General features: G+C 47.1%; 1 protein-coding gene across 3 annotated transcripts, besides 9 other annotated features; it reads left to right on the top strand.

Moving 5' to 3' along the window:
- Nucleotides 1,693-2,334: an enhancer, noted in NCBI's record as "NANOG-H3K27ac hESC enhancer chr20:50418765-50419406 (GRCh37/hg19 assembly coordinates)". NCBI's record gives its function as "activates a minimal SCP1, AML or CMV promoter by ChIP-STARR-seq in naive H9 embryonic stem cells {active_cell/tissue: H9 hESC(naive)}" and the evidence as "EXISTENCE:reporter gene assay evidence [ECO:0000049][PMID:30033119]".
- SALL4 (spalt like transcription factor 4) lies at nt 2,039-22,229 on the top strand. 3 transcript variants are annotated; one of them, NM_001318031.2, is made up of 4 exons: nt 2,039-2,281; nt 12,208-13,227; nt 15,419-15,699; nt 19,876-22,229. In NM_001318031.2, exons 1-4 carry the CDS (start codon nt 2,152-2,154, stop codon nt 20,293-20,295), a joined length of 1,851 nt encoding a protein of 616 aa, NP_001304960.1. In that variant the 5' UTR covers nt 2,039-2,151; the 3' UTR covers nt 20,296-22,229. The 3 variants fall into 3 exon arrangements, with proteins under 3 accessions (NP_001304960.1, NP_065169.1, XP_047296274.1); NM_020436.5 differs by having other exon boundaries at nt 12,208-14,538; XM_047440318.1 differs by lacking the exon at nt 2,039-2,281 and adding an exon at nt 2,958-3,069 and having other exon boundaries at nt 12,208-14,538.
- Nucleotides 2,978-3,620: an enhancer, noted in NCBI's record as "NANOG-H3K27ac-H3K4me1 hESC enhancer chr20:50417479-50418121 (GRCh37/hg19 assembly coordinates)". NCBI's record gives its function as "activates a minimal SCP1, AML or CMV promoter by ChIP-STARR-seq in primed H9 embryonic stem cells {active_cell/tissue: H9 hESC(primed)}" and the evidence as "EXISTENCE:reporter gene assay evidence [ECO:0000049][PMID:30033119]".
- Nucleotides 4,136-4,185: an enhancer, noted in NCBI's record as "active region_18116". NCBI's record gives its function as "activates an Ori minimal core promoter by ATAC-STARR-seq in GM12878 lymphoblastoid cells {active_cell/tissue: GM12878}" and the evidence as "EXISTENCE:reporter gene assay evidence [ECO:0000049][PMID:35858748]".
- Nucleotides 4,333-5,256: an enhancer, noted in NCBI's record as "OCT4-NANOG-H3K27ac-H3K4me1 hESC enhancer chr20:50415843-50416766 (GRCh37/hg19 assembly coordinates)". NCBI's record gives its function as "activates a minimal SCP1, AML or CMV promoter by ChIP-STARR-seq in naive and primed H9 embryonic stem cells {active_cell/tissue: H9 hESC(naive and primed)}" and the evidence as "EXISTENCE:reporter gene assay evidence [ECO:0000049][PMID:30033119]".
- Nucleotides 8,749-9,248: an enhancer, noted in NCBI's record as "H3K4me1 hESC enhancer chr20:50411851-50412350 (GRCh37/hg19 assembly coordinates)". NCBI's record gives its function as "activates a minimal SCP1, AML or CMV promoter by ChIP-STARR-seq in primed H9 embryonic stem cells {active_cell/tissue: H9 hESC(primed)}" and the evidence as "EXISTENCE:reporter gene assay evidence [ECO:0000049][PMID:30033119]".
- Nucleotides 13,497-14,062: an enhancer, noted in NCBI's record as "H3K4me1 hESC enhancer chr20:50407037-50407602 (GRCh37/hg19 assembly coordinates)". NCBI's record gives its function as "activates a minimal SCP1, AML or CMV promoter by ChIP-STARR-seq in naive H9 embryonic stem cells {active_cell/tissue: H9 hESC(naive)}" and the evidence as "EXISTENCE:reporter gene assay evidence [ECO:0000049][PMID:30033119]".
- Nucleotides 14,063-14,629: an enhancer, noted in NCBI's record as "H3K4me1 hESC enhancer chr20:50406470-50407036 (GRCh37/hg19 assembly coordinates)". NCBI's record gives its function as "activates a minimal SCP1, AML or CMV promoter by ChIP-STARR-seq in naive H9 embryonic stem cells {active_cell/tissue: H9 hESC(naive)}" and the evidence as "EXISTENCE:reporter gene assay evidence [ECO:0000049][PMID:30033119]".
- Nucleotides 15,089-15,588: an enhancer, noted in NCBI's record as "H3K27ac hESC enhancer chr20:50405511-50406010 (GRCh37/hg19 assembly coordinates)". NCBI's record gives its function as "activates a minimal SCP1, AML or CMV promoter by ChIP-STARR-seq in naive and primed H9 embryonic stem cells {active_cell/tissue: H9 hESC(naive and primed)}" and the evidence as "EXISTENCE:reporter gene assay evidence [ECO:0000049][PMID:30033119]".
- Nucleotides 15,589-16,090: an enhancer, noted in NCBI's record as "H3K27ac hESC enhancer chr20:50405009-50405510 (GRCh37/hg19 assembly coordinates)". NCBI's record gives its function as "activates a minimal SCP1, AML or CMV promoter by ChIP-STARR-seq in naive and primed H9 embryonic stem cells {active_cell/tissue: H9 hESC(naive and primed)}" and the evidence as "EXISTENCE:reporter gene assay evidence [ECO:0000049][PMID:30033119]".

The raw sequence follows: 22,414 nt of genomic DNA, 5'->3' as shown, positions 1-22,414 counted from the left end.
CTAATTAAGTCACTTCATGTCTTTGAGCCTCAGTTTCAAAATGGAGAGGACAATAGGGCCAACCTCCATGGGAAGATAAAACAAGGCGGTGTGCATTCATTTAATGCAGTCTGTGGCATGTACAAGGGGCTCAATCAATTATTATTATTACTATCACTTGGAGAGTCAAGCGGCACAATTTTGTCTCGTAGTAAGGCTAACATGTTACAACTATCATCTACTAAAATAAATATAAACAACTATATAAATGAAATTTTCCTTAACCCAATAGTATTTTTTGAGCCATAAACCCACTGCACATTCGTTTAGATTTGTAAGTTAGATCTCCTGCCACACTATCTTACACAGAAAAGGTGTTGAGAATATTAGTAGATTAGTCAGCAAGGCAGGTGCTAATTGGCCTTTTTACTCAGTATCAGAATTCTAAACTGCTTCTATGTATTATTAAACCAAATTCTTACCTTTTCAATCTGGCTGTTGGCTATAATTCTGTCTTACTTGCTTTAAATATTATACATAAAATAAGGCAAGACTTTTTCAGAGACTCAAAAATTGAAGGTTAATCTTCCTTCAACAAGTTTTTACTGATGGCCACGAATATAAAAAAGATGATCAAGCTGATTTATTTTCTGCCTTGGGTTGTCCAAATACCCAGGTGAACACATTGATGAGCCCAGCATTCCATTTTGCTTGTATTCCTGATGAGTTTACAAGCTGGGAACGTGATGAATAACTAATCAAGAGAATGCAATGCACAAATGTGGAGGGAGGGTTTATATCTGCACAGTCCCTTACAATGAAGTAAATGCCAAACAAAGACGCATGCCCAGAGCAGTTATGGAAAGACCAATCAAAGACTTAGCAGGTTGATGATTTCATCATTCATTTAACATTTATTGAGCATGTACATTGTGTAAAGCAGTTAGCCAAATTAAGTATACATGAATTTACGGTATAAATGTGTATACATGTAATATATCATATACACACACACAAGCCCCACTTTAAAAAATTCCAGGCATCATGTGTCAATGATACAATCACTTTGAACGATACACCTTTTCTGTAATAATGTGTGTATTGCACAAAAAAATTCCAATAGTGATTAGTAACAACCAGATACTGTGACAGTGCCCCATTGCCATTCCATGGGAGATGCAAGAGCATTGTCTCAGTAATAAAATATGATGTTATCAGGCATTTATGGCTCCTGGGGAAAAAAATGCAATTGCTTGCTGTTTTGATATTATCTCTGACTATGCTTGCTTATCATTTGCCATTTCTATATTTAGTAGCCAGTCATTTTGAAGTTAAAAAAAAATCAAGGTTTGCATTGTAACCACAAACCAGTCTTTGTGAACAGGAATCCTGGAGGCTATTAATCAGCTTTTAAAGGAGGTAAGTCATGGTGGTGGTGGGGTATCTGAAATTTTGGAAGTTCCGAGCTCACTTTAAGAGTTGAGATGGGTGGGAGGGCTGAAAACACCACCATTCATCATTCTTCAGTTATCTCGAGACTCAACTTAAACATTTTTAATCAAAAAGATGGGAGGGGACACGGGTCACATCTCAGGTTTGGGGGAATGTGTGTGCGTGTAGATGTGAAAACTGAGCCAAAATATTCCACTGTGAAGAGATCTCCCTTCTCGGCTGGTGGACATCAACCTTACCAAGTAATCTTTGGAGCAAGTAACTACCAAATAAAGCCGTTCCAAAACTTCTACGTAAGCTCCTACTTTTTAATGAGTACGCATTTCTCCCCATTTTCTTTTCCTCTCCAAGGACTGAGATAGCTGGAGCAAGGATGGGTCCCCCTCTGATTTCGTCCCCGCCCCAGCCAATCTGAGCCCGGATGCTAATTAGCTGCGCTCCCCTGATGAACACGCCTTTGTCACAAGTAGGCCCGGACTACAAAGCCCAGAATGCCTCACCCCTCCCTGATCAATGAGGGCTTATTTAAATGATCTCTGAGGTCTTGGACCCAGGCCAATCAGCTGTCAGGGCTCATGATAAATCGCAATGCATTATTGATAATAATAATTACTGGGACATGCGCGTTCCGGCCGAAGGGGGGTAAATTTCCCAACTCCAGGAATTTGTGGCGGAGAGGGCAAATAACTGCGGCTCTCCCGGCGCCCCGATGCTCGCACCATGTCGAGGCGCAAGCAGGCGAAACCCCAGCACATCAACTCGGAGGAGGACCAGGGCGAGCAGCAGCCGCAGCAGCAGACCCCGGAGTTTGCAGATGCGGCCCCAGCGGCGCCCGCGGCGGGGGAGCTGGGTGAGTGGGGCTGGGGCGCCCGCCCGGGGAGGGGAGCTTCCCGGACGTACGCGGGATCCTCGAGGGCGCAGGCTTCGGGGAGCGGGCGGCGTCCAGCGCAAATTCAGGAGCCGAGATTTGGGGGCTCAGTGCCCGGGAGGAGAGGTCTCCTCCTCTCCCCACCACCCCGCCTTTTGCACATTTCACACTTTTTTCCTCTTCTCCCCTCTTGTGTAAGTTTCACCCCCAGCTTTCTCCCCTAATTGTAAAATTGACCCCCACTCGCTCCTCTGTTCTCGCTCCCGAAAGGTTCCCTTCTCCTTGTCCTCTGCCCCTCACTTAATTGGTTCCACTCCCCTCACTGGTGTTACCCCCCCCCCTTGTAACTTAGGTCCCCCTCCCTCGCGTCGCTCTCAAAAGAAAGAACCCCGGGGGATCCCCACCCTCTCCACCAGCCCCTTGGGGCTTTTCTTGGAGGCTGGAGGAGGGGCGCACCCCTGGAAGACCCCCCGGAGGAGGACGATCTGTTGCACGCGCCCCTCCCGGGCCAAGTGGGGGGAGGGGGCGCGACCTCTCCCCACCCTCAGGAGCTGGGGTGCGGGCCACCCGCGCTGCGCAGGGGATTGGAGGGCCCAGAGAGGTGGGGGAGGAGGGCTCAATGTTTCCCTTTAAAATTTTTTTCTTTTCTGGATTTCGCCTTTTCTGCCCGGGCTGCGCCGCCTGCCGATCTTCGCCCTAACCTTTCGGGGCCTGACCTCCAGCCATCTTTGATTTCCGACTTCCTAAAAATAACCGCGGCAAGCCCGAGGGTGCGAGCCCCCAGTGGCCGGGGTGGCGGGCGCGCGGCAGCCCCACTGGGGTGCACCGGCCTCCCGTTTTGCGTGGCTTTTCTGGAGCGCTCGGCTTTCCACATTTGCGCTTGGGTGTGAAAGGGGAGAGGTGGGGGGCCAGAGCGAACTCCCGCGGCTGACCTGGCCCACGCTTCCGCGGCCAGCGTTTCCCAGATCGAGGGGAGTTCGGGACCCCAGCCGCGCCAGGAACGGCGGGGCCAACTCTGTTCCCACTTCATCACTTCACCGCGGAGGTTTTAGGAGCGAGGCGGTTTTCCACTATCTCGTCTCCATCCCGGCCCGCCAAATTGTCGCCTGATAAGTTTTTAGCGTGCGCGTGGGGGGAGGGGGGATTTGTAGCCTCCTCTCCGGCCTTGTTCGTCGCTCCGCTCCCCGCCTGCTTTCTAATTTCCCTGCAGCAGACGGGTGTGCGCGGCAACCCCGGAGGACTCTCAGAGACCATCTCTGATACCCGGGGTTTCCCGAGAAGACGGTCGCCACTTTTTGGCTTCCGTATCCCCGCCTTTTTGTCGGAGACTGAATGTAATACATTTCCCAAGTTTATAATACGTCAATAGAATTCCCCGTTTAACATTTTTCCAGGGCAAATTAAAAGGATCGGCTTGACGGAGGGGATGGCTGGGCGTTTTCGGGGCGCCGGGTGGTCAGCGCAGCGCGCACCCGAGGTCCCAGGCGCCTGGAGGGACTCTCTTTGTGCCTTGGTTGGGGGCGGGGTGGGGTGGGGGTTGAGGGGAGCGTGAAGGCTTCGTGGCCTGGCCCACCTGGAACAAAAGGGTTAACCCTCAGCCCGCCTGCTTCCTCCGGAGAGGAGGGGCGAGCTCCTGGTTCTGACCCCTCCCCTGGTCCTACGCTGACCTCCCCTTCCCCCTTCATTTTGGGTGGGCGCACACACGTGGGGCTTTTGGTGGTGTTTGGCACCTTTCGGGAGGGAAGCTTGTTACGAGAGGGCTTCTGAAATTAACGATGGTTGGAGTTTGGAATCAGAGTCAACCTGAGCTGAGCTAAAACCTCGGGCCTGGCCGTGCGCTGCCACTGCGATTTGGGAGGGAGGGGAGTTGGCTATTGATCACCAGGGTTGTCGCGGACAGCCCACCCGGCTTGCGCGCGGGCGCCCCCTGGAGGCCCAGCTTGAAGCCTAGCCCTTTGCTGGGAGGCGGGGTCCCTTCGCAGGTACTGGCTCACACCTGGTGGGTGGGACGGGTTGTGGGGGTGAATGGAGAGTGCTGGGCTGGGCCAAGGATGGGTACCCTAGGGGATTCGTGCCGGTCGCCTGCTTGATCGTCGTCTGTGCCCGCTGTTCTTTGCCAAGTGTGGAATTCTTGGTAATAACTCCTGGCGGCTAGAATGTGTTTGCAGAGCCTCCAATTGCCTCCTTGGGAGAGAAGGTTGTTTTCCCAAGCAGTGCGTTTTTAATGGCTGCGTTTGGGTTGTTTGCATTTGAGCTGCCTAAAATTATATGTGTTAGGTATATAATGTAGACATACATATCTAACTTAGATGTATGTATATGTCTCACATAATTTTTTAGAATGCAGATTGAGCTGGTCTTATTTTGCAAAGCCATTCGAGAATGCAGTTTTTGAGGGAGGAAAATGACGTCTGGCGATCAATTAGCAGATCAAAAAATCTGCAGGTGGTCGCAGGGCTAACACTACATACAGGAAAAATTAGCATTTTCTCAAAAGAGTTTCAAATGCCCTTTGTGCTAAACTGGATTACAAACATCAACGATTAGGATTCCCAAGTTTCGAATAACTTCCTATTTCCAATTACTCACCAAAATGACCTACGCTGGCTTAGAAGGATTTTGACGTTAGTTAACGTTTCAGGTCAACTTTCTACGTTAGACTTCATGTGGGTTTCCCATAGGGAGAGAAGCTACAATTTGCCAAACAGCTCCTTTTGTTGAATAAAAATGTGCAGTGCAGAAGCAAATGATACTTTGTCATTCGTGCTGCTGTTAGTGAGCTTCCTCCTGGGCTGTGGGTTGGGGAACCATCTTGGGAGGCAGAAGGCAGTTAGCATTTCCTTTTTTAAAATGTGAAGTGTTAGGTTGATGCCTGGGAAGTCAGGTTTTAGAATGGGATCCGCGTTCCACTGTGGCTGTGTGACTTTCAGCTGTGTAACCTTGAAGCCAGCTTGGTGGCGTTTTCTGTTTTTTTGTTTTTTCTGAGTTTTTGGGTTCCTCCTCTATATAGCAGTGATAAAATGCCCTGTTTAGATAATTTCAACTATAGAAGGGCTACTATGAATTGGGAATGTGATCAGTCTTAATTTTGTTCAAAATACCAAAATGTTTTTATTTGTGTTTATTGTGTCAAGATGGTGTTGAGCTGCCAGTTGAGGCAATCTAGCAGAAATGGCAGTGTGCTGCCTGCCAGACACCAGGCTGGGGACTCGAGTGCGCTATCTTTAATTCAAGATATTAAAGACCAAAAGTGATAGTCATGTTTTTACTCATTTTAAATTGCAGCACCTGTTTGAAATGGCTTTGCCCGTGGTGCCTTGCCCTGCTTGATGGCCCATGGTGTCTTGTCCTGCCTCGCCCCAGAGCCCAAGGAACTGTTTTTTTTGTTTTGTTTTGTTTTGTTTTGTTTTGTTTTTATTGGTTTTTTAAAAATAACCTTAGGTCAGTTGGTGATGTGATGAGATGTTCTTTTTGGCATCTTCGACAAGGGAGCCGTGATTGGTGCTTGGCTGGTTGGGTTTGGTGGCCTCTCCTCTGCCATCTTAAATGTTGGGATGTGCCTTCACACGGTTTAGATGAAGAGGTCCCAGAAATAAAACAATGTTGGAGTTTGGTCGGCTTCTCTGGGTTGTACTACCCTGGAAAAATTGATGGCGAAAAGAGTTCCAGAAGTTGTCCCTTCCTCATCACCTTTAGCCTACAGTACTTTTGACTATTTTTTAAAATGTCTAAACATTTTTAAAAGCCACTAAATCCAGATAAGAACTGCATCGCCAGTCACCACAATCCCCCCCCACCCCCGCCCCAACAAATTGTATGTCTGTGTCAGGATTTGTTCAGGGGGGCTCTGGAGACAGGCGACAAAAACCCCTGCCCTCATGGAGTTTGCAAACTTGCCTGATCTCTAGTTGGGGACGAGTGGGACACTTCCCTAACCTTGGAAGCAAACAGAAGTCACACGCCTTAGCGCCTGTGAAACTTTCTTTGAGCCATTTACTCTTTTTTTCCTCTCCAGCAGCATCCCCGAATTTTGGTTCAAGGCTGTTTGAAACTTTGCCTTTTTTAGATCTTAATTAGGTGGAAACTTAAAGTCTTATCTGCCTTCTATGAATTGAGTTGAAGGCTTTTTGACTGCTAAAATTAAGCTGCTAAAGAGGCAGTTTTCTTTCAACTGGTTAAATACTTAAGAAGGCACATAATTTCCTTTTGTTTTTTGGTAAGCAATTATCCTGGGGTTGGGGGAGGGTAGAAGATGTTGTGTGCTTTAGATAATCTACTCATTGTCGTTCTTTAAATGTAGGAATGAAAAAAAGATAAGCTTGAGTCATAATGCTTTTATCAAGATATACAGGTTTTACTTTTTAAGCATTTCAGTGTCTCCAGAATTTGATTGGCCACTAGTAGATGAACTTTCTTCCTATACAATAGTAAGAGTATTTTCTATCCATTTGGCAGTGATTGAATCTAAGACCCCTGCTGGGTTTACTGCATTCTTCCAACTTATTGGATAACTAGATGCTGCAAGATAACATTCCTAAAATTCGGGGTGGGGGTGGGGTGGAGAAATGGAAGAACTAGTTGCTGTGTAATCCCTCTGAACTTTGCTTTTTTTTTTTCCTTTTTGGTTAACTTAAGCATGCCCAGCAATTGTTCATAACAGAATCTTCTTACTCCTTGGCAAATACAGTTGCGGTATTTACCAGTGGTGGCCTGGATGTAGAAGCACTTTTTACTGCACAAGCAAACAGAGCTGCTGCTGTTTTAAGAGTCAAGTGGGATGTTGCTGGTGGAGGCTACAGAAGAGGCAAGCTTGTGTATACAGCAAAGGCAAGCTGGTATTCAGGCTGTAAATCACTCTGGGAACTGCTGGATCCTTCTAGGGGAGGGAGCTTAACCTTTTTTGTGCCATAGATCCCTTCTCAACATAGTGTATAAAATACATAGATGACCAAGGAAATAAATTGCATTGAAATACAGTCATCAAAAATGAAAACATTTTTAACTTAGTAATATCAGCTACTTTATTAATACAATAAATAACAAGATCTAGTAGCCTGTCAGATAACAAGAATTTCCAAGTCATAACAACTTGTAACACTATATGAAAATATCTGTGGTCTCCACTGATGACAAAGTCACAAGTTCTATTAATACCACTGTGGTATGTTGCTTATATTCATCATTGAAAGAAAGGTTGAATTTTAGTTCAGCTTAGTGAAAATTAGTATTTTTTTCTTATCTAATTTCATAGACCCCCTGTTTAAAAATGCCTGTGTTAAATAGAACATGCATTTTCAATCAAGTGATATTTTCACCAATGGGATGAAAACGTTTTATTGATAGTACAGTGGTTTGTGGCCTTCCAAAGGAGATAAATGTATATAATATGTTTGTGATATTAGAACTTTATAAGTGGGGAGCTATTAGGGAAAAATAACTTAAAAGCCTCCATAGAGGGGCAAAATAAAAAAGTTTCTCCCACAGAGGGGAGAAACTCCGCTCTAGAAGAAACGATTATGAATTGGGCCACTAATTTTAGTGCTGTTAAATAGTATTTAAGTCACCTCTGTATTGTGACTAGCAAGCAGTATGTCATCTTGAGCCATTTAGTTCTGAGCCTGTTTTCCACATCTGCAAAATGGAAACAAAGGAGCTTGTTTGATTATGTGGCTATGAAGATAAGCGACCTAAGGCAAGGGTGTCTAATCTTTTGGCTTCCCTGGTCCACATTGGAAGAAGGATTATCTTGGGCCACACATAAAAGACACGGACAGTAATGATAGCTGATGAGCTTAAAACAAATTGTAAAACTATCTCACGTTTTAAGAAAGTTTATGAATTTGTGTTGGGCTGAATTCAAAGCTGGCCTGGGCCTGGTTTGGACAAGCTTGCCTTAAGGTGTAAGAGTATGAAGTATGTTTTTGTTCTTGCTTGGAGAGGTTGGTGGTGGTTAGCTTTGGCCTCTAAAAAGTAGTATGGAGTGGTTAATGTTTTTGCATGGGCTTTATTGAGGGTTTTTTTTTTCTTTTCTTTTCTTTCTTTCTTTCTTTTTTTTTTTTTTTTTGAGACAGTCTTGTTCTGTTGCCCAGGCTGGAGTGCAGTGGCGCAATCTCGGCTCACTGCAACCTCCACCTCCCGGGTTCAAGCAATTCTCCCACCTCAGCCTCCCGAGTAGCTGGGATTCCAGCGATGCGCACACCATCACACCTGGCTAATTTTTCTATTTTTAGTAGAGACAGAGTTTCACCATGTTGGCCAGGCTGGTCTCAAACTCCTGAACCCAGGTGATCCACCCACCTCGGCCTCCCAAAGTGCTGGGATTACAGGTGTGAGCCACTGTGCCCAGCCTTGGTCTTCTTTATTTCTGGAGGCTATAAAGCGTTCGCCTTTTCTGCACCCTAACTTATTTAACCAAAATCTTACTGATGGACCAAGGTGCATCCATTTTGTTGCTGTTTGTTAACATGAGAAATGCTGCAAGTACATTGAGGAAATTCCTAAAGCAGGAATTGCTGGGTCAAAGGAAAATTGTACTAAAATGAAGATGTTGCCAGATGACTCCCTGAAAGAGCTGTATCTGTCTATACACTCGTACCAGCAGCGTGTATTTCCTTCCCTAACAAGAGAAACTGTTTTAAAAAGTTTCACTTCTTAACATTCTTGACACATAATTGTCAAAATTGCTTTTCTAGAAAGATTGTGCCACCTAGCACTCCCACTAGTGCTGGTTTCCAGTCTTGGAAAATCATACAGATAGATACTATTTATCTGAGAGTTGGCGGTTCCCAGATAAATAGTTGCCAGGGTTCTGGGAATTGACGAACATTTTTATCTGTTTTTGTTTTTGTTTTTTTGACACGGAGTCTCGCTCTGTCGCCCAGGCTGGAGTGCAGTGGCACTGTCTCGGCTCACTGCAACCTCTGCCTCCCGGGTTCACGCCATTCTCCTGCCTCAGCCTCCCCAGTAGCTGGGACTACAGGCGCCCACCACCGTGCTCGGCTAATTTTTTGTATTGTTAGTAGAGATGGAGTTTCACCGTGTTAGCCAGGATGGTCTTGATCTCCTGACCTTGTGAGCCACCGTGCCCGGCCGAACATTTTTATCTGGATCACTGAAGTGAGGCAGATTCGCAGCAGTATTGGGGCCTTAAGAAAGGAGAGTTTGTGCTGGTACCTGCTACTAGAACTCTACCTGGAAGTAGCAGCATCGCACTGCATCTTAACACTTTCAGAGCAACTTCTGGAAGTCCTAGAAATGAGACAGGAATGGGTGGTCGACTCCCACCCCTTCCTAACCAAGGCAACCTCCCAGGCTTTCCTGTCCCATCTTAACATCTCTGTGAGAGGAAAGAAAGTTGCAATCTTTACAGAAGAAACATGATCAGAGGGGTACAAATGAAGGGTTCCAATAGAGGGTGTGGGAACTGCATGTCTGGGGTTTAATACTGGCTCTGCAGTTTACTTAACATGTTAGCTTGGGCAAGTTCATGTCCTCTGTGCCTCAGTTTCCCCTTCTGTCAAATAGGGTAATAGTTTCTATTTCAGAGTTGTTAATATAACAAATTGTTTAGAATCATACCTGGCACATACAAAGTAAGTGCTCAAAAGTTATCTGTCAATAACTTTTGTTATGTTGCACGAGTGACATTATTTCTCAGAGTCTCTGTTTTTCACATCTTTATTTTTTCATTATTTATTTATTTATTTTTTGAGATGGAGTTTCGCTTTTGTTGCCCAGGCTGGAGTACAATGGCACAATCTCAGTTCACTGCAACCTCCGCCTCCTGGGTTCAAGTGATTCTCCTGCCTCAGCCTCCTGAGTAGCTGGGATTAGGCATGCGCCACCACGCTGGGCTAAGTTTATAGTTTTAGTAGAGATGGAGTTTCACCATATTGGTCAGGCTGGTTTCGAACTCTCAGCCTCCCAAAGTGCTGGGATCACAGGTGTGAGCCATCACGCCCAGCCTTTAATGGAGCTGATATTTAATAGGATTGAATGATTACAGTATGGGCATCTGCTGGTACAAAATCTGAATTATAGGAAGATAATGGGGCTCATCTTTTCACCATTGGGTCCCCAACCCCTGCTTTGCACGCAGTAGGAGGTTAGTATTGTGGAACGAGAGGCATTACATTGTTTTATTGTAAGGCATTGTTCTCAGCAGTCCTGGTTGAATCAGTAAATCCAGGCATCTACCTAATCATCTAATCACGAGGTTGTCATCTCGCGATTACGCGTGCCCAGTAGGCTTTCTTAGGGGTGTGCCGACTTGCCTATCAATAACTACCTGTTATTGATAGGCAAGGCTAGGTTGGCCCTGCCTAGCTTTCTTAACTCTGGCAGGCCAGACCTGCCCATGGCTGTTGTCTCTTCCCCTGACCCACCCCCAGCCTACACATACCTTGCAAGACTTCATATTGTGACCCAGTCTGAAATAAGTAAAGATTAAATCAGTTTGTTAAGGCCATGCTTCAAGATCAGCCCCTCCTGGAAACCCGTGGGTGGACTGTGCTGTCAAAAGTCCGTGGCTTTGGCTGGGCACGGTGGCTCATGCCTGTAATCCGAGCACTTTGGGAGGCTGAGGCAGACGGATCACTTGCACCCAGGAGTTTGAGACCAGCCTGGCCAACATGGTGAAACCCCATCTCTACTAAAAATACAAAAATTAGCCAGCTACTCGGGAGACTGAGGCATGAGAATAGCTTGAATCCAGGAGGCGGAGGTTACAGTGAGCCAAGATTGGGCCACTGCACTCCAGCCCTTCCTGGCCTTTTCCTTGTGCATTTGTACTTTTTTTTTCCAGACAGGGTCTCACTCTGTCACCCAGGCTGGAGTGGCTTGACTTCCCAGGCTCAAGCGGTTCTCCTGCCTCAGCCTCTGGAGTTGCTTGAACTATACATGGACGCTGCCATGCTCAGCTATTTTTATCTTCTTATTTTTTTTATAGAGACGGGGTGTCACTGTGTTGCTGGTTTCAAACTCCCGGCCTCTCAAAAGTGGCCTCAAAGTGCTGGGATGACTGGTGCGAGCCACTGCACCCAGCCACATTTGTACATTTCAAACACAGGTTTTGTTTTAAGCAAAATGGTCATGTTGTACATATTGTTGCGCAACCCGTTTCTTTCACTTAATTTCTGTGGCATACAGAAATTCTGCATATTTCTCACACTATGGGTGGGTGGGCCAAAATTTACTTCTTTGCTGCTGTGAACATTTCTGAAAAAACAAGAAAACCTAGATCATTGTATGCTCGTGTGAATGTCTTGTGTGGTTTAGATTTATAGGCTTAGCTGCTGGGTCTGAGATATGCCTGTCTTTGTCCTGTGGCCCCAAGCTCCATTGATATCTTGATGATGGGGTATACCTGAGAGGACAGCAGGGAGGTGAGAACAATGAAGTAGCTTCGAGAGACTTCCAGGCATCATGTGAAGGACCCCAGCATCTGGCTAAAACACAGTCCCAAGTTCGGAGTTGCAATGTGTAGGCTGGCACTAACCCTAAAGTAAGTAAGCCCCAGTTACAAAAGAAATTCAGGGATCAGCCTTTTTGCCTTTTTTTTTTTTTTTTTTTTTGAGATGGAGTCTCGCTCTGTCGCTCAGGCTGGAGTGCAATGGCGGGATCTCAGCTCACTGCAACCTCTGCCTCCTGGGTTCAAGCAATTCTTGAGCCTCAGCCTCCCGAGTAGCTGGGACCACAGGAGCCCACCACCATGCCCAGCTAATTTTTGTGTTTTTAGTAGTGACAGGGTCTCACCATGTTGGCCAGACTGGTCTTGAATTCCCAACCTCAGGTGATCTGCCCACCTCAGCCTCCCAAAGTGCTAGGATTATAGATGTGAGCGACGGTGCCCGGCTCCCCCCACATCTTTTACTTGGGCAGAGTCCTTAGCTTTTTCTGTCTTGTTACAGGTGCTCCAGTGAACCACCCAGGGAATGACGAGGTGGCGAGTGAGGATGAAGCCACAGTAAAGCGGCTTCGTCGGGAGGAGACGCACGTCTGTGAGAAATGCTGTGCGGAGTTCTTCAGCATCTCTGAGTTCCTGGAACATAAGAAAAATTGCACTAAAAATCCACCTGTCCTCATCATGAATGACAGCGAGGGGCCTGTGCCTTCAGAAGACTTCTCCGGAGCTGTACTGAGCCACCAGCCCACCAGTCCCGGCAGTAAGGACTGTCACAGGGAGAATGGCGGCAGCTCAGAGGACATGAAGGAGAAGCCGGATGCGGAGTCTGTGGTGTACCTAAAGACAGAGACAGCCCTGCCACCCACCCCCCAGGACATAAGCTATTTAGCCAAAGGCAAAGTGGCCAACACTAATGTGACCTTGCAGGCACTACGGGGCACCAAGGTGGCGGTGAATCAGCGGAGCGCGGATGCACTCCCTGCCCCCGTGCCTGGTGCCAACAGCATCCCGTGGGTCCTCGAGCAGATCTTGTGTCTGCAGCAGCAGCAGCTACAGCAGATCCAGCTCACCGAGCAGATCCGCATCCAGGTGAACATGTGGGCCTCCCACGCCCTCCACTCAAGCGGGGCAGGGGCCGACACTCTGAAGACCTTGGGCAGCCACATGTCTCAGCAGGTTTCTGCAGCTGTGGCTTTGCTCAGCCAGAAAGCTGGAAGCCAAGGTCTGTCTCTGGATGCCTTGAAACAAGCCAAGCTACCTCACGCCAACATCCCTTCTGCCACCAGCTCCCTGTCCCCAGGGCTGGCACCCTTCACTCTGAAGCCGGATGGGACCCGGGTGCTCCCGAACGTCATGTCCCGCCTCCCGAGCGCTTTGCTTCCTCAGGCCCCGGGCTCGGTGCTCTTCCAGAGCCCTTTCTCCACTGTGGCGCTAGACACATCCAAGAAAGGGAAGGGGAAGCCACCGAACATCTCCGCGGTGGATGTCAAACCCAAAGACGAGGCGGCCCTCTACAAGCACAAGTGTAAGTACTGTAGCAAGGTTTTTGGGACTGATAGCTCCTTGCAGATCCACCTCCGCTCCCACACTGGAGAGAGACCCTTCGTGTGCTCTGTCTGTGGTCATCGCTTCACCACCAAGGGCAACCTCAAGGTGCACTTTCACCGACATCCCCAGGTGAAGGCAAACCCCCAGCTGTTTGCCGAGTTCCAGGACAAAGTGGCGGCCGGCAATGGCATCCCCTATGCACTCTCTGTACCTGACCCCATAGATGAACCGAGTCTTTCTTTAGACAGCAAACCTGTCCTTGTAACCACCTCTGTAGGGCTACCTCAGAATCTTTCTTCGGGGACTAATCCCAAGGACCTCACGGGTGGCTCCTTGCCCGGTGACCTGCAGCCTGGGCCTTCTCCAGAAAGTGAGGGTGGACCCACACTCCCTGGGGTGGGACCAAACTATAATTCCCCAAGGGCTGGTGGCTTCCAAGGGAGTGGGACCCCTGAGCCAGGGTCAGAGACCCTGAAATTGCAGCAGTTGGTGGAGAACATTGACAAGGCCACCACTGATCCCAACGAATGTCTCATTTGCCACCGAGTCTTAAGCTGTCAGAGCTCCCTCAAGATGCATTATCGCACCCACACCGGGGAGAGACCGTTCCAGTGTAAGATCTGTGGCCGAGCCTTTTCTACCAAAGGTAACCTGAAGACACACCTTGGGGTTCACCGAACCAACACATCCATTAAGACGCAGCATTCGTGCCCCATCTGCCAGAAGAAGTTCACTAATGCCGTGATGCTGCAGCAACATATTCGGATGCACATGGGCGGTCAGATTCCCAACACGCCCCTGCCAGAGAATCCCTGTGACTTTACGGGTTCTGAGCCAATGACCGTGGGTGAGAACGGCAGCACCGGCGCTATCTGCCATGATGATGTCATCGAAAGCATCGATGTAGAGGAAGTCAGCTCCCAGGAGGCTCCCAGCAGCTCCTCCAAGGTCCCCACGCCTCTTCCCAGCATCCACTCGGCATCACCCACGCTAGGGTTTGCCATGATGGCTTCCTTAGATGCCCCAGGGAAAGTGGGTCCTGCCCCTTTTAACCTGCAGCGCCAGGGCAGCAGAGAAAACGGTTCCGTGGAGAGCGATGGCTTGACCAACGACTCATCCTCGCTGATGGGAGACCAGGAGTATCAGAGCCGAAGCCCAGATATCCTGGAAACCACATCCTTCCAGGCACTCTCCCCGGCCAATAGTCAAGCCGAAAGCATCAAGTCAAAGTCTCCCGATGCTGGGAGCAAAGCAGAGAGCTCCGAGAACAGCCGCACTGAGATGGAAGGTGATAGAGCTTTGGATTTAACTTATGTCCATTTTGGGCTCAAGGTCATCAAAAAGGAGCCTGGGTTGAACTTTACAAACGGAGAGTATGACTTGAAGCAGCCCCTTCTATAGGGCAATTAGCTTTTCTTTACTTCTGGGTAGAGGGCAATAGTAACTGCCTCTATCCTAGTAACGAACATGCTTTTAATTTATGATGGTTAATGCAAAATGGGTATGGACAGCATACCTTTTTTGTTGGTTTTTATTTTTGTCTTTGAGCCCCTTGGGACATAGGGGTGGGTAGTCGTTCTATTTTGTTATAGTTTTTTTCTTTTTGTTTCTCCACACTATGATTCTGTATATGGGTGTCTTAAGAGTATGTTTGAGGAAGTGGCCACTGCTTTTTGACCACTGAAATAAGCCGTGGTTCCCTGACTCTGAGGCCCCACTGCCTGATGTAATGTTCACAAATTAGCCACTCTTGAAGCAGGGAAAGATGAACCCATTTTAAATGCACATATCTATTGAGAGGTTTGTTGATGTCATTAATGGTAAAATAAGGGAAAAGCTGTATCAAAGAATCAAAGAAAGATGGTGTCTGGGCATATGCTTTAAAGGTAGTTTCTTATGCAGAAATTTGAACTTAAATTACATATGTGTTTATATGTTGCCCATGCCTTTAAAAAAAAAAAACCCAAAGTGATACCTTTTCCCAAGCATTTGAAGCTTTATTCTTTGTGCAGATAAACAATTCAAAGGGGAAGGTGTTAATTACTTACAAAGCCAGCTCCAGACTCTCAAACTAGCAGGCAGTTATTTTTAAAGATCTCTTTTGCTTTGAAGAGAAAGAATGAAGGTTGGATGATAAAGGTCTGGCTTTTTTCCCCTCTGTGTACTAGGTCGGAGCAGTCTCCCTTCCACGTTTATCCGAGCCCCGCCGACCTATGTCAAGGTTGAAGTTCCTGGCACATTTGTGGGACCCTCGACATTGTCCCCAGGGATGACCCCTTTGTTAGCAGCCCAGCCACGCCGACAGGCCAAGCAACATGGCTGCACACGGTGTGGGAAGAACTTCTCGTCTGCTAGCGCTCTTCAGATCCACGAGCGGACTCACACTGGAGAGAAGCCTTTTGTGTGCAACATTTGTGGGCGAGCTTTTACCACCAAAGGCAACTTAAAGGTGGGTTTGTGTGGGCTTTCAGCAGGATGGGGGCTAGGCACCAGGTGTCTTCTTATTGGCACAAGCCGTGATGAGTTCTTCCATCCTTCCATTCCTCCTTTGGGAGGCCGAGGTGGGAGGATTGCTTGAGTCCAGGAGTTTGTTTATTTATTTATTTATTTTTGAGACGGAGTCTCACTCTGTCGCCCAGACTGGAGTGCAGTGGCGCCATCTCAAGCTCAAGCTCACTGCAAGCTCCTCCTCCCGGGTTCATGCCATTCTCCTGCCTCAGCCTCCTGAGTAGCTGGGACTACAGGCGTCCGCCACCATGGCCGGCTAATTTTTTTGTATTTTTAGTAGAGGTGGGGTTTCACCGCGTTAGCCAGGATGGTCTCGATCTCCTGATCTCGTGATCCGCCTGCCTCGGCCTCCCAAAGTGCTGGGATTACAGGCATGAGCCACTGCACCCAGCTGAGTCCAGGAGTTTGAGACCAGCCTGGCAACATAGGGAGACAACGTCTTTACACACACACACACACACACACACACACACACACAAATTAGTTGGGCATGGTGTTGCATGCTTGGGTCCCCGCCAATTGGGAAGCTGAAGTGGGAGGACCACTTGAGCCTGAGAGATCAAGGCTGCAGTGATCTGTGATCATGCCACTGCACTCCAGCTTAGAAAACAAAGTGAGACCTTGTCTCTTAAAAAAATTAAAATGTTTACATTTTAATTTTAAAAATTAGAAATACTACCTGGGTGCAGTGGCTCAGCACCCATAATCTGAGTACTTTGAGAGGCCAAGGCAGGTGGATTGCTTGAGCCCAGGAGTTTGAGACCAGCCTGGGTAACATAAGGAGACCCTGTCACTACAAAATAAAAATAAAAATTAGATGGGCGTGGTGGCATGCGCCTGTAGGCCCAGCTACTTGGGAGGCTGAAGTGGGAGGATCACTTGAACCTGGGAGGTCGAGGCTTCTGTGAGCTGTGATCACACCACTGCACTCCAGCCTGGGCAAGAGAGTAAGACCCTGTCTCTTAAGAGTTTTAAACTCTTAAGAAGCTGAAAAGGGCCGGACGCAGTGGCTCATGCCTGTACTCTCAGCACTTTGGGAGGTGGTGGTGCGAGGATCACTTGACCCCAGGAGTTGAAGACCAGCCTGGGCAACATAGCAAGATGCCATCTCTACAAAAATTAAATTCATATAAATAAAAAAAAAAGAAGCTGAAAAGGATTTCAAAACTTGAAAGCCAGACAGGAAAAATAATTAAAGAAAGCAGCCAGGTGCTAGTAAGGTCCCTTCTTCAGCAGAAGCCTTGCCTACCACCTTAGATTAAATAGCATCCTATTCCCACCATGGCCTTCTGTAGCTTTCCCAGCCAGATACATTTTTCTCTGTAGCAATTATTAGAGACATTGATGTTCTCTATATTTAGATGTCAGCTGCATCAGGGAATGGTCGTTTTGCTCTGTCACCCAGGCTGGAGTGCAACGGTGCAATCTCGGCTCATTGCAACCTCTGCCTCCCGGGTTCAAGCAATTCTCCTGCCTCAGCCTCTTGAGTGGCTGGAATTACAGGCGCCCGCCATCATGCCCGGCTAATTTTTGTATATTTTTAGTAGAGTCGAGGTTTCACGATGTTGGCCACGCTGATCTCGAACTCCAGACCTCAGGTGATCCACCTGCTCTGACCTCCCAAAGTCCTGGATTGTAGGTGTGAGCCACTGCGTCCTGCCCCAAAATTTGTTTTGTTTTGGTTTGTTTTGTTTGTTTGTTTGTTTCTGAGACAGTTTTGCTCTTGTTGCCCAGGCTGGAGTGCAGTGGTGCCATCTTGACTCACTGCAACCTCCGCCTCCTGGGTTCAAGCGATTCTCCTGCCTCAGCCTCCTGAGTAGCTGGGACTTCAGGCGTGTGCCACCATACCCGGCTACTGTTTGTATTTTTAGTAGAGATGGGGTTTCACCATGTTGGCCAGGCTCGTCTCAAACTCCTGACCTCAGGTGATCTGCCTGCCTCAGCCTCCCAAAGTAATGGGATTATAGGCGTGAGCCACTGTGCCCTGCCCACAAATTGTTTTTAACTGAAATTTTTACTTAAATAAGTATAGATTTTCACTGGACTTTTGAAAAGTAATACAGAGACATCCTTGTATGCTTTGCCCAGTTTTCCCCATTGGTAGCACTTTGCAAAACGGTAGTATCAACATTGTAGCATAATCAAGATATTGACATTGTTACAATCAACATTCAGATTTTCCCATTTTACTTGTACTCAGGTGTGCATGTTGTGCACTCTACAGTTTTATTACCTGCGTAGGTTTGTGCATTTTAAAAATGTTAACTCTAGGCTGGGTGCAGTGGCTCATGCCTGTAATCCCAGCACTTTGGGAGGACAAGGTGGGAGGATTGCTTGAGGCCAGGAGTTCGAGACCAGCTTGAGCAACATAAGGAGATCCAGTCTCTACAAATAAAAATAAATTAGCCGGCCAGGTGCAGTGGCTCACGCCTGTAATCCCAGCACTTTGGGAGGCCGAGGTGGGCGGATCACAAGGTCAGGAGATCCTGACCATCCTGGCTAACACGATGAAACCCTGTCTCTACTAAAAACAAAATAGAAAAAATTAGCCGGGCGTGGTGGCGGTGGGCGCCTGTAGTCCCAGCTACTCGGGAGGCTGAGGCAGGAGAATGGTGTGAACCCGGGAGGTGGAGCTTGCATTGAGCCAAGATCATTCCACCGTACTCCAGCCTGGGCGACAGAGCGAGACTCTGTCTCAAAAAAAAAAAAAAACAATTAGCTGGGCATGGTGGTGTGCACCTGTAGTCCCAGGTACTCAGGAAGCTGAGGTGGGTGGGTTGCTTGAGCCTTGGAGGTTGAGGCTGCAGTGAGCTGTGCCACTGCACTGTAGCCTGGGTGACAGATTAAGACTCAAAAAAAAGGCCGGACGTGGTGGCTCACGCCTGTAATTCCAGCACTTTGGGAGGCCGAGGCAGGCGGACCACGAGGTCACGAGATCAAGACCATCCTGGCCAACATGGTGAAACCCCGTCTCTACTAAAAATACAAAAATTAGCCGGGCATGGTGGCGCGTGCCTGTAGTCCCAGCTATTCAGGAGGCTGAGGCAGGAGAATCGCTTGAACCCGGGAGGCGGAGGTTGCAGCGAGCCGAGATTGCGCCACTGCACTCCAGCCTGGGCGACAGAGCGAGACTCCGTCTCAAAAAAAAAAGGACTCAAAAAAAAATGTTAACCCTGGCACTTGGATCAATGCCCAGGATATAGTAGGTTTTCACATAGGTACACCCATGATTGGTGGAGCAGAGACAGTTGGAGACTATAAGCCCCATCTTGGTTGCTCTGGGGAGGAATGTTTGTTAGGTGATATAAGAAATCTGATTTTCTAAATATAAAGTGCAGACAGTCCCTGACTTAAGATGGTTTGATTTACGATGATACAAAAGTGATAGGCATTCAGTAGAGATCAGACTTTGAGCACCCATACAACCATTCTGTTTCTCACTTTCAGTACATGCTCAATCACATGAGCTATGAGCTAATTTTTTATTTTTTATTTTTTTTTGAGATGGAGTCTTGCTTTGTCACCCAGGCTGGAGTGCAGTGGCATGATCTTGGCTCACTGCAACCTCCGCCTCCCAGGTTCAAGCGATTCTCGTGCCTCAGCCTCGCGAGCAGCTGGGATTACAGGCATGTGCCACCATGCCTGGCTACTTTTTGTATTTTTAGTAGACAGGGTTTCATCATGTTGGCCGGGCTGGTCTTGAACTCCTGACCTCAAGTGATCTGCCCACCTCAGCTTCCCAAAGTGCTGGGATTACAGGCGTGAGCCACCGTGCCTGGCCTACATGAGCTGTTTCAGTGCTCATGTATAAAATAAAATAGGCTTTGCGTTAGATGATTTTGCCTAACTGTAAGCTAATGCAAATGTTCTGAGTGTGTTTGAGGTAGGCTAAACTGAGCTATGATGTTTGGCTAGTTAGGGGTATTAAATGCATTTTAGACTAAGAATATTTTCTACTTTCAATCAGTTTATCTGGGCATAACCCCGCTGTAAGTCAAGGATCATCTATATGTTAAAACACTGGGTAGAATGAAATCCATATGCAGATTGATTCTTGGCTTGCCAGTGAGCTTCAAATCTCTATTTTGGTAAAAACCTTTCTGTCCTGTTCCCATAGGTTCACTACATGACACACGGGGCGAACAATAACTCAGCCCGCCGTGGAAGGAAGTTGGCCATCGAGAACACCATGGCTCTGTTAGGTACGGACGGAAAAAGAGTCTCAGAAATCTTTCCCAAGGAAATCCTGGCCCCTTCAGTGAATGTGGACCCTGTTGTGTGGAACCAGTACACCAGCATGCTCAATGGCGGTCTGGCCGTGAAGACCAATGAGATCTCTGTGATCCAGAGTGGGGGGGTTCCTACCCTCCCGGTTTCCTTGGGGGCCACCTCCGTTGTGAATAACGCCACTGTCTCCAAGATGGATGGCTCCCAGTCGGGTATCAGTGCAGATGTGGAAAAACCAAGTGCTACTGACGGCGTTCCCAAACACCAGTTTCCTCACTTCCTGGAAGAAAACAAGATTGCGGTCAGCTAAGGGAGAACTTGCGTGGAAGGAGCAATGCAGACACAGTGAAATCTCTAGAATCTGCTTTGTTTTGTAAGAACTCATCTCCTCCTGTTTTCTTTTTCTTACTGATATGCAAATGATGTTTACTACGTTGGTTGTGACCACAACCTCAGGCAAGTGCTACAATCACGATTGTTGCTATGCTGCTTTGCAAAAAGTTGAAAAAATAAAAAAAAAATGCATACCAAAACAAATACAGACTCTTTTTTTTTGAGATGGAGTCTCGCTCTATCACCCAGGCTGGAGTGCAGTGGCATGATCTCGGCTCACTGCAACCTCCCCATTCTGGGTTCAAGTGATTCTCCTGCCTTAGCCTCCAGAGTAGCTGGGATTACAGGCAGGTGCCACCACGCCCGGCTAATTTTGTATTTTGAGTAGAGACTGGGTTTCACCATGTTGGTCAGGCTGGTCTCGAACTGCTGACCTCGTGATCCACCCGCCTTGGCCTCCCAAAGTGCTGGGATTACAGGCATGAGCTACCACGCCTGGCACTTTTTTTTTTTTTTTCTAATTTTGGAAAGAAGCGGGTCTTGCAAAGTAGCTTTGTTACTTGTAACAGACGTATACATAGAACCTTTGTACAACCTAGAGTGACTTTTTCCAAAGACTGTTACCTATTTCAAGGTAGAATCGTTGGAACTTACTGAACAACAGTGGAAAAGACAACTACACAGCCTCATTGAGGGGAGATGGGTACTGTATACTTACTGGTAACTGGACACGGGTAAAAGGACAAGGTCTGTCATCTCTTTAGGGACCTGTTTTATATGCCCCAACCCTGTCCCCATCTTATTGTTTTTTTTTGAATGTACTTAAAAAAGGAACAACAAAAAACTAGGGTTGTAGAATTATAAAACTGCTTCAACCTTAGAACCTTAAGTAGGAGGCCCTCAAATGGACTTACGTTAGTCCTTAGGGAGTCAATGTGTGTGTTGCTGCTTATTTAAATACAGTTCAGTTGGAGCCCCGAGAGTGCCAATGTTTTCCCCACACCTCTTGGATGCCTTCCTCTTCCCAAATCCCAGAAGAGGTGGGCACCTGAGCGGGGAATCTCAGGTGACTTAGTTTGCCAGTGCCTACTCTATTGAAGAACTGGGTTTTCATGCTCGAGAAGAAACTCGTGGAAGGGCGTGTTTCCCATCACAGGTTCACATACTGATTGCTTTTGTTGAATTTCCTTGGTGCGACTTATGCCAAGTAATTATGACGATTTTTTGTTTTGTTTTGTTTCCTTGCTGAATATTTCATGAAGGCTACGAAGTTAGAACAGGCACGTCCTGGGTGTGAAAGCTTTAATTTATCTACCTCATTTATTTTTTATTTTTTGTAGCCATAGTGTCTATTTTCCTATTTTAAGACCGCTGAAGTATTCCCAGGCCCTGTCTAAAGCCTAAGAGTTGATGTATTGGTGGGAAGAGGTGAACGTTCAAGATGATTTTGTGATGCCTTTTTTTTTTGTAGTTTCCTTTGTAAATGTGATATTGAGCAAACGAAACATTGCTCTTGGTTTAACAAGAAAGAAAGAAAAAAACTCTAATTTCTGGGAGAAAAGTCTTTCCCCTCTATGTGGAAGGTCCTGACGGAAATATGCATCCAAGACGATTAGCCAAAGTGTTGTCTCTTCATCGTTGCACCTGACTTTAGGATTCCGCCCCCCTTTTTTTTTTTTTTTTTTTTTTTTGCCAAGTTGTGCCTTTCCTTCTGGAATTGTAAGTGAACACGATAATAGTACCTGTTTACACTGTGAAGTGGATATTGTTACAGAAAACACACCAGTGGCTTTCTCACTGTTGAGCTAATAATGCCTTGTGAATGTATGATCTACGGAGAAACCCCTGTAGTTGTACCTGCTGATGCTGTCTGTCTGTTGGAAAATAAAATTTGAATGTTTTTTTTTCTCACCCAGGTGTATATAAATTTTTCTGGTACTTTCTGCTCTATACCTGAGAATCTTTACTTGACAATCACTTTCAGCTGCCTTGTGACACTCTTGTTCCTAGCGTCAAAAAGATGCACACCTGGCTATGTCCATACTTGCCTCACTTTTTTTTTTTTTTTGACAGTTTCCCTCTTGTTTCCTAGGCTG

Source organism: Homo sapiens, chromosome 20, assembly GCF_000001405.40.
Source record: "Homo sapiens chromosome 20, GRCh38.p14 Primary Assembly".
Lineage (NCBI taxonomy): Eukaryota > Metazoa > Chordata > Mammalia > Primates > Hominidae > Homo > Homo sapiens.
Note: the sequence above shows the minus strand (reverse complement) of the source record. Positions and strands in the feature narration are given on the sequence as shown.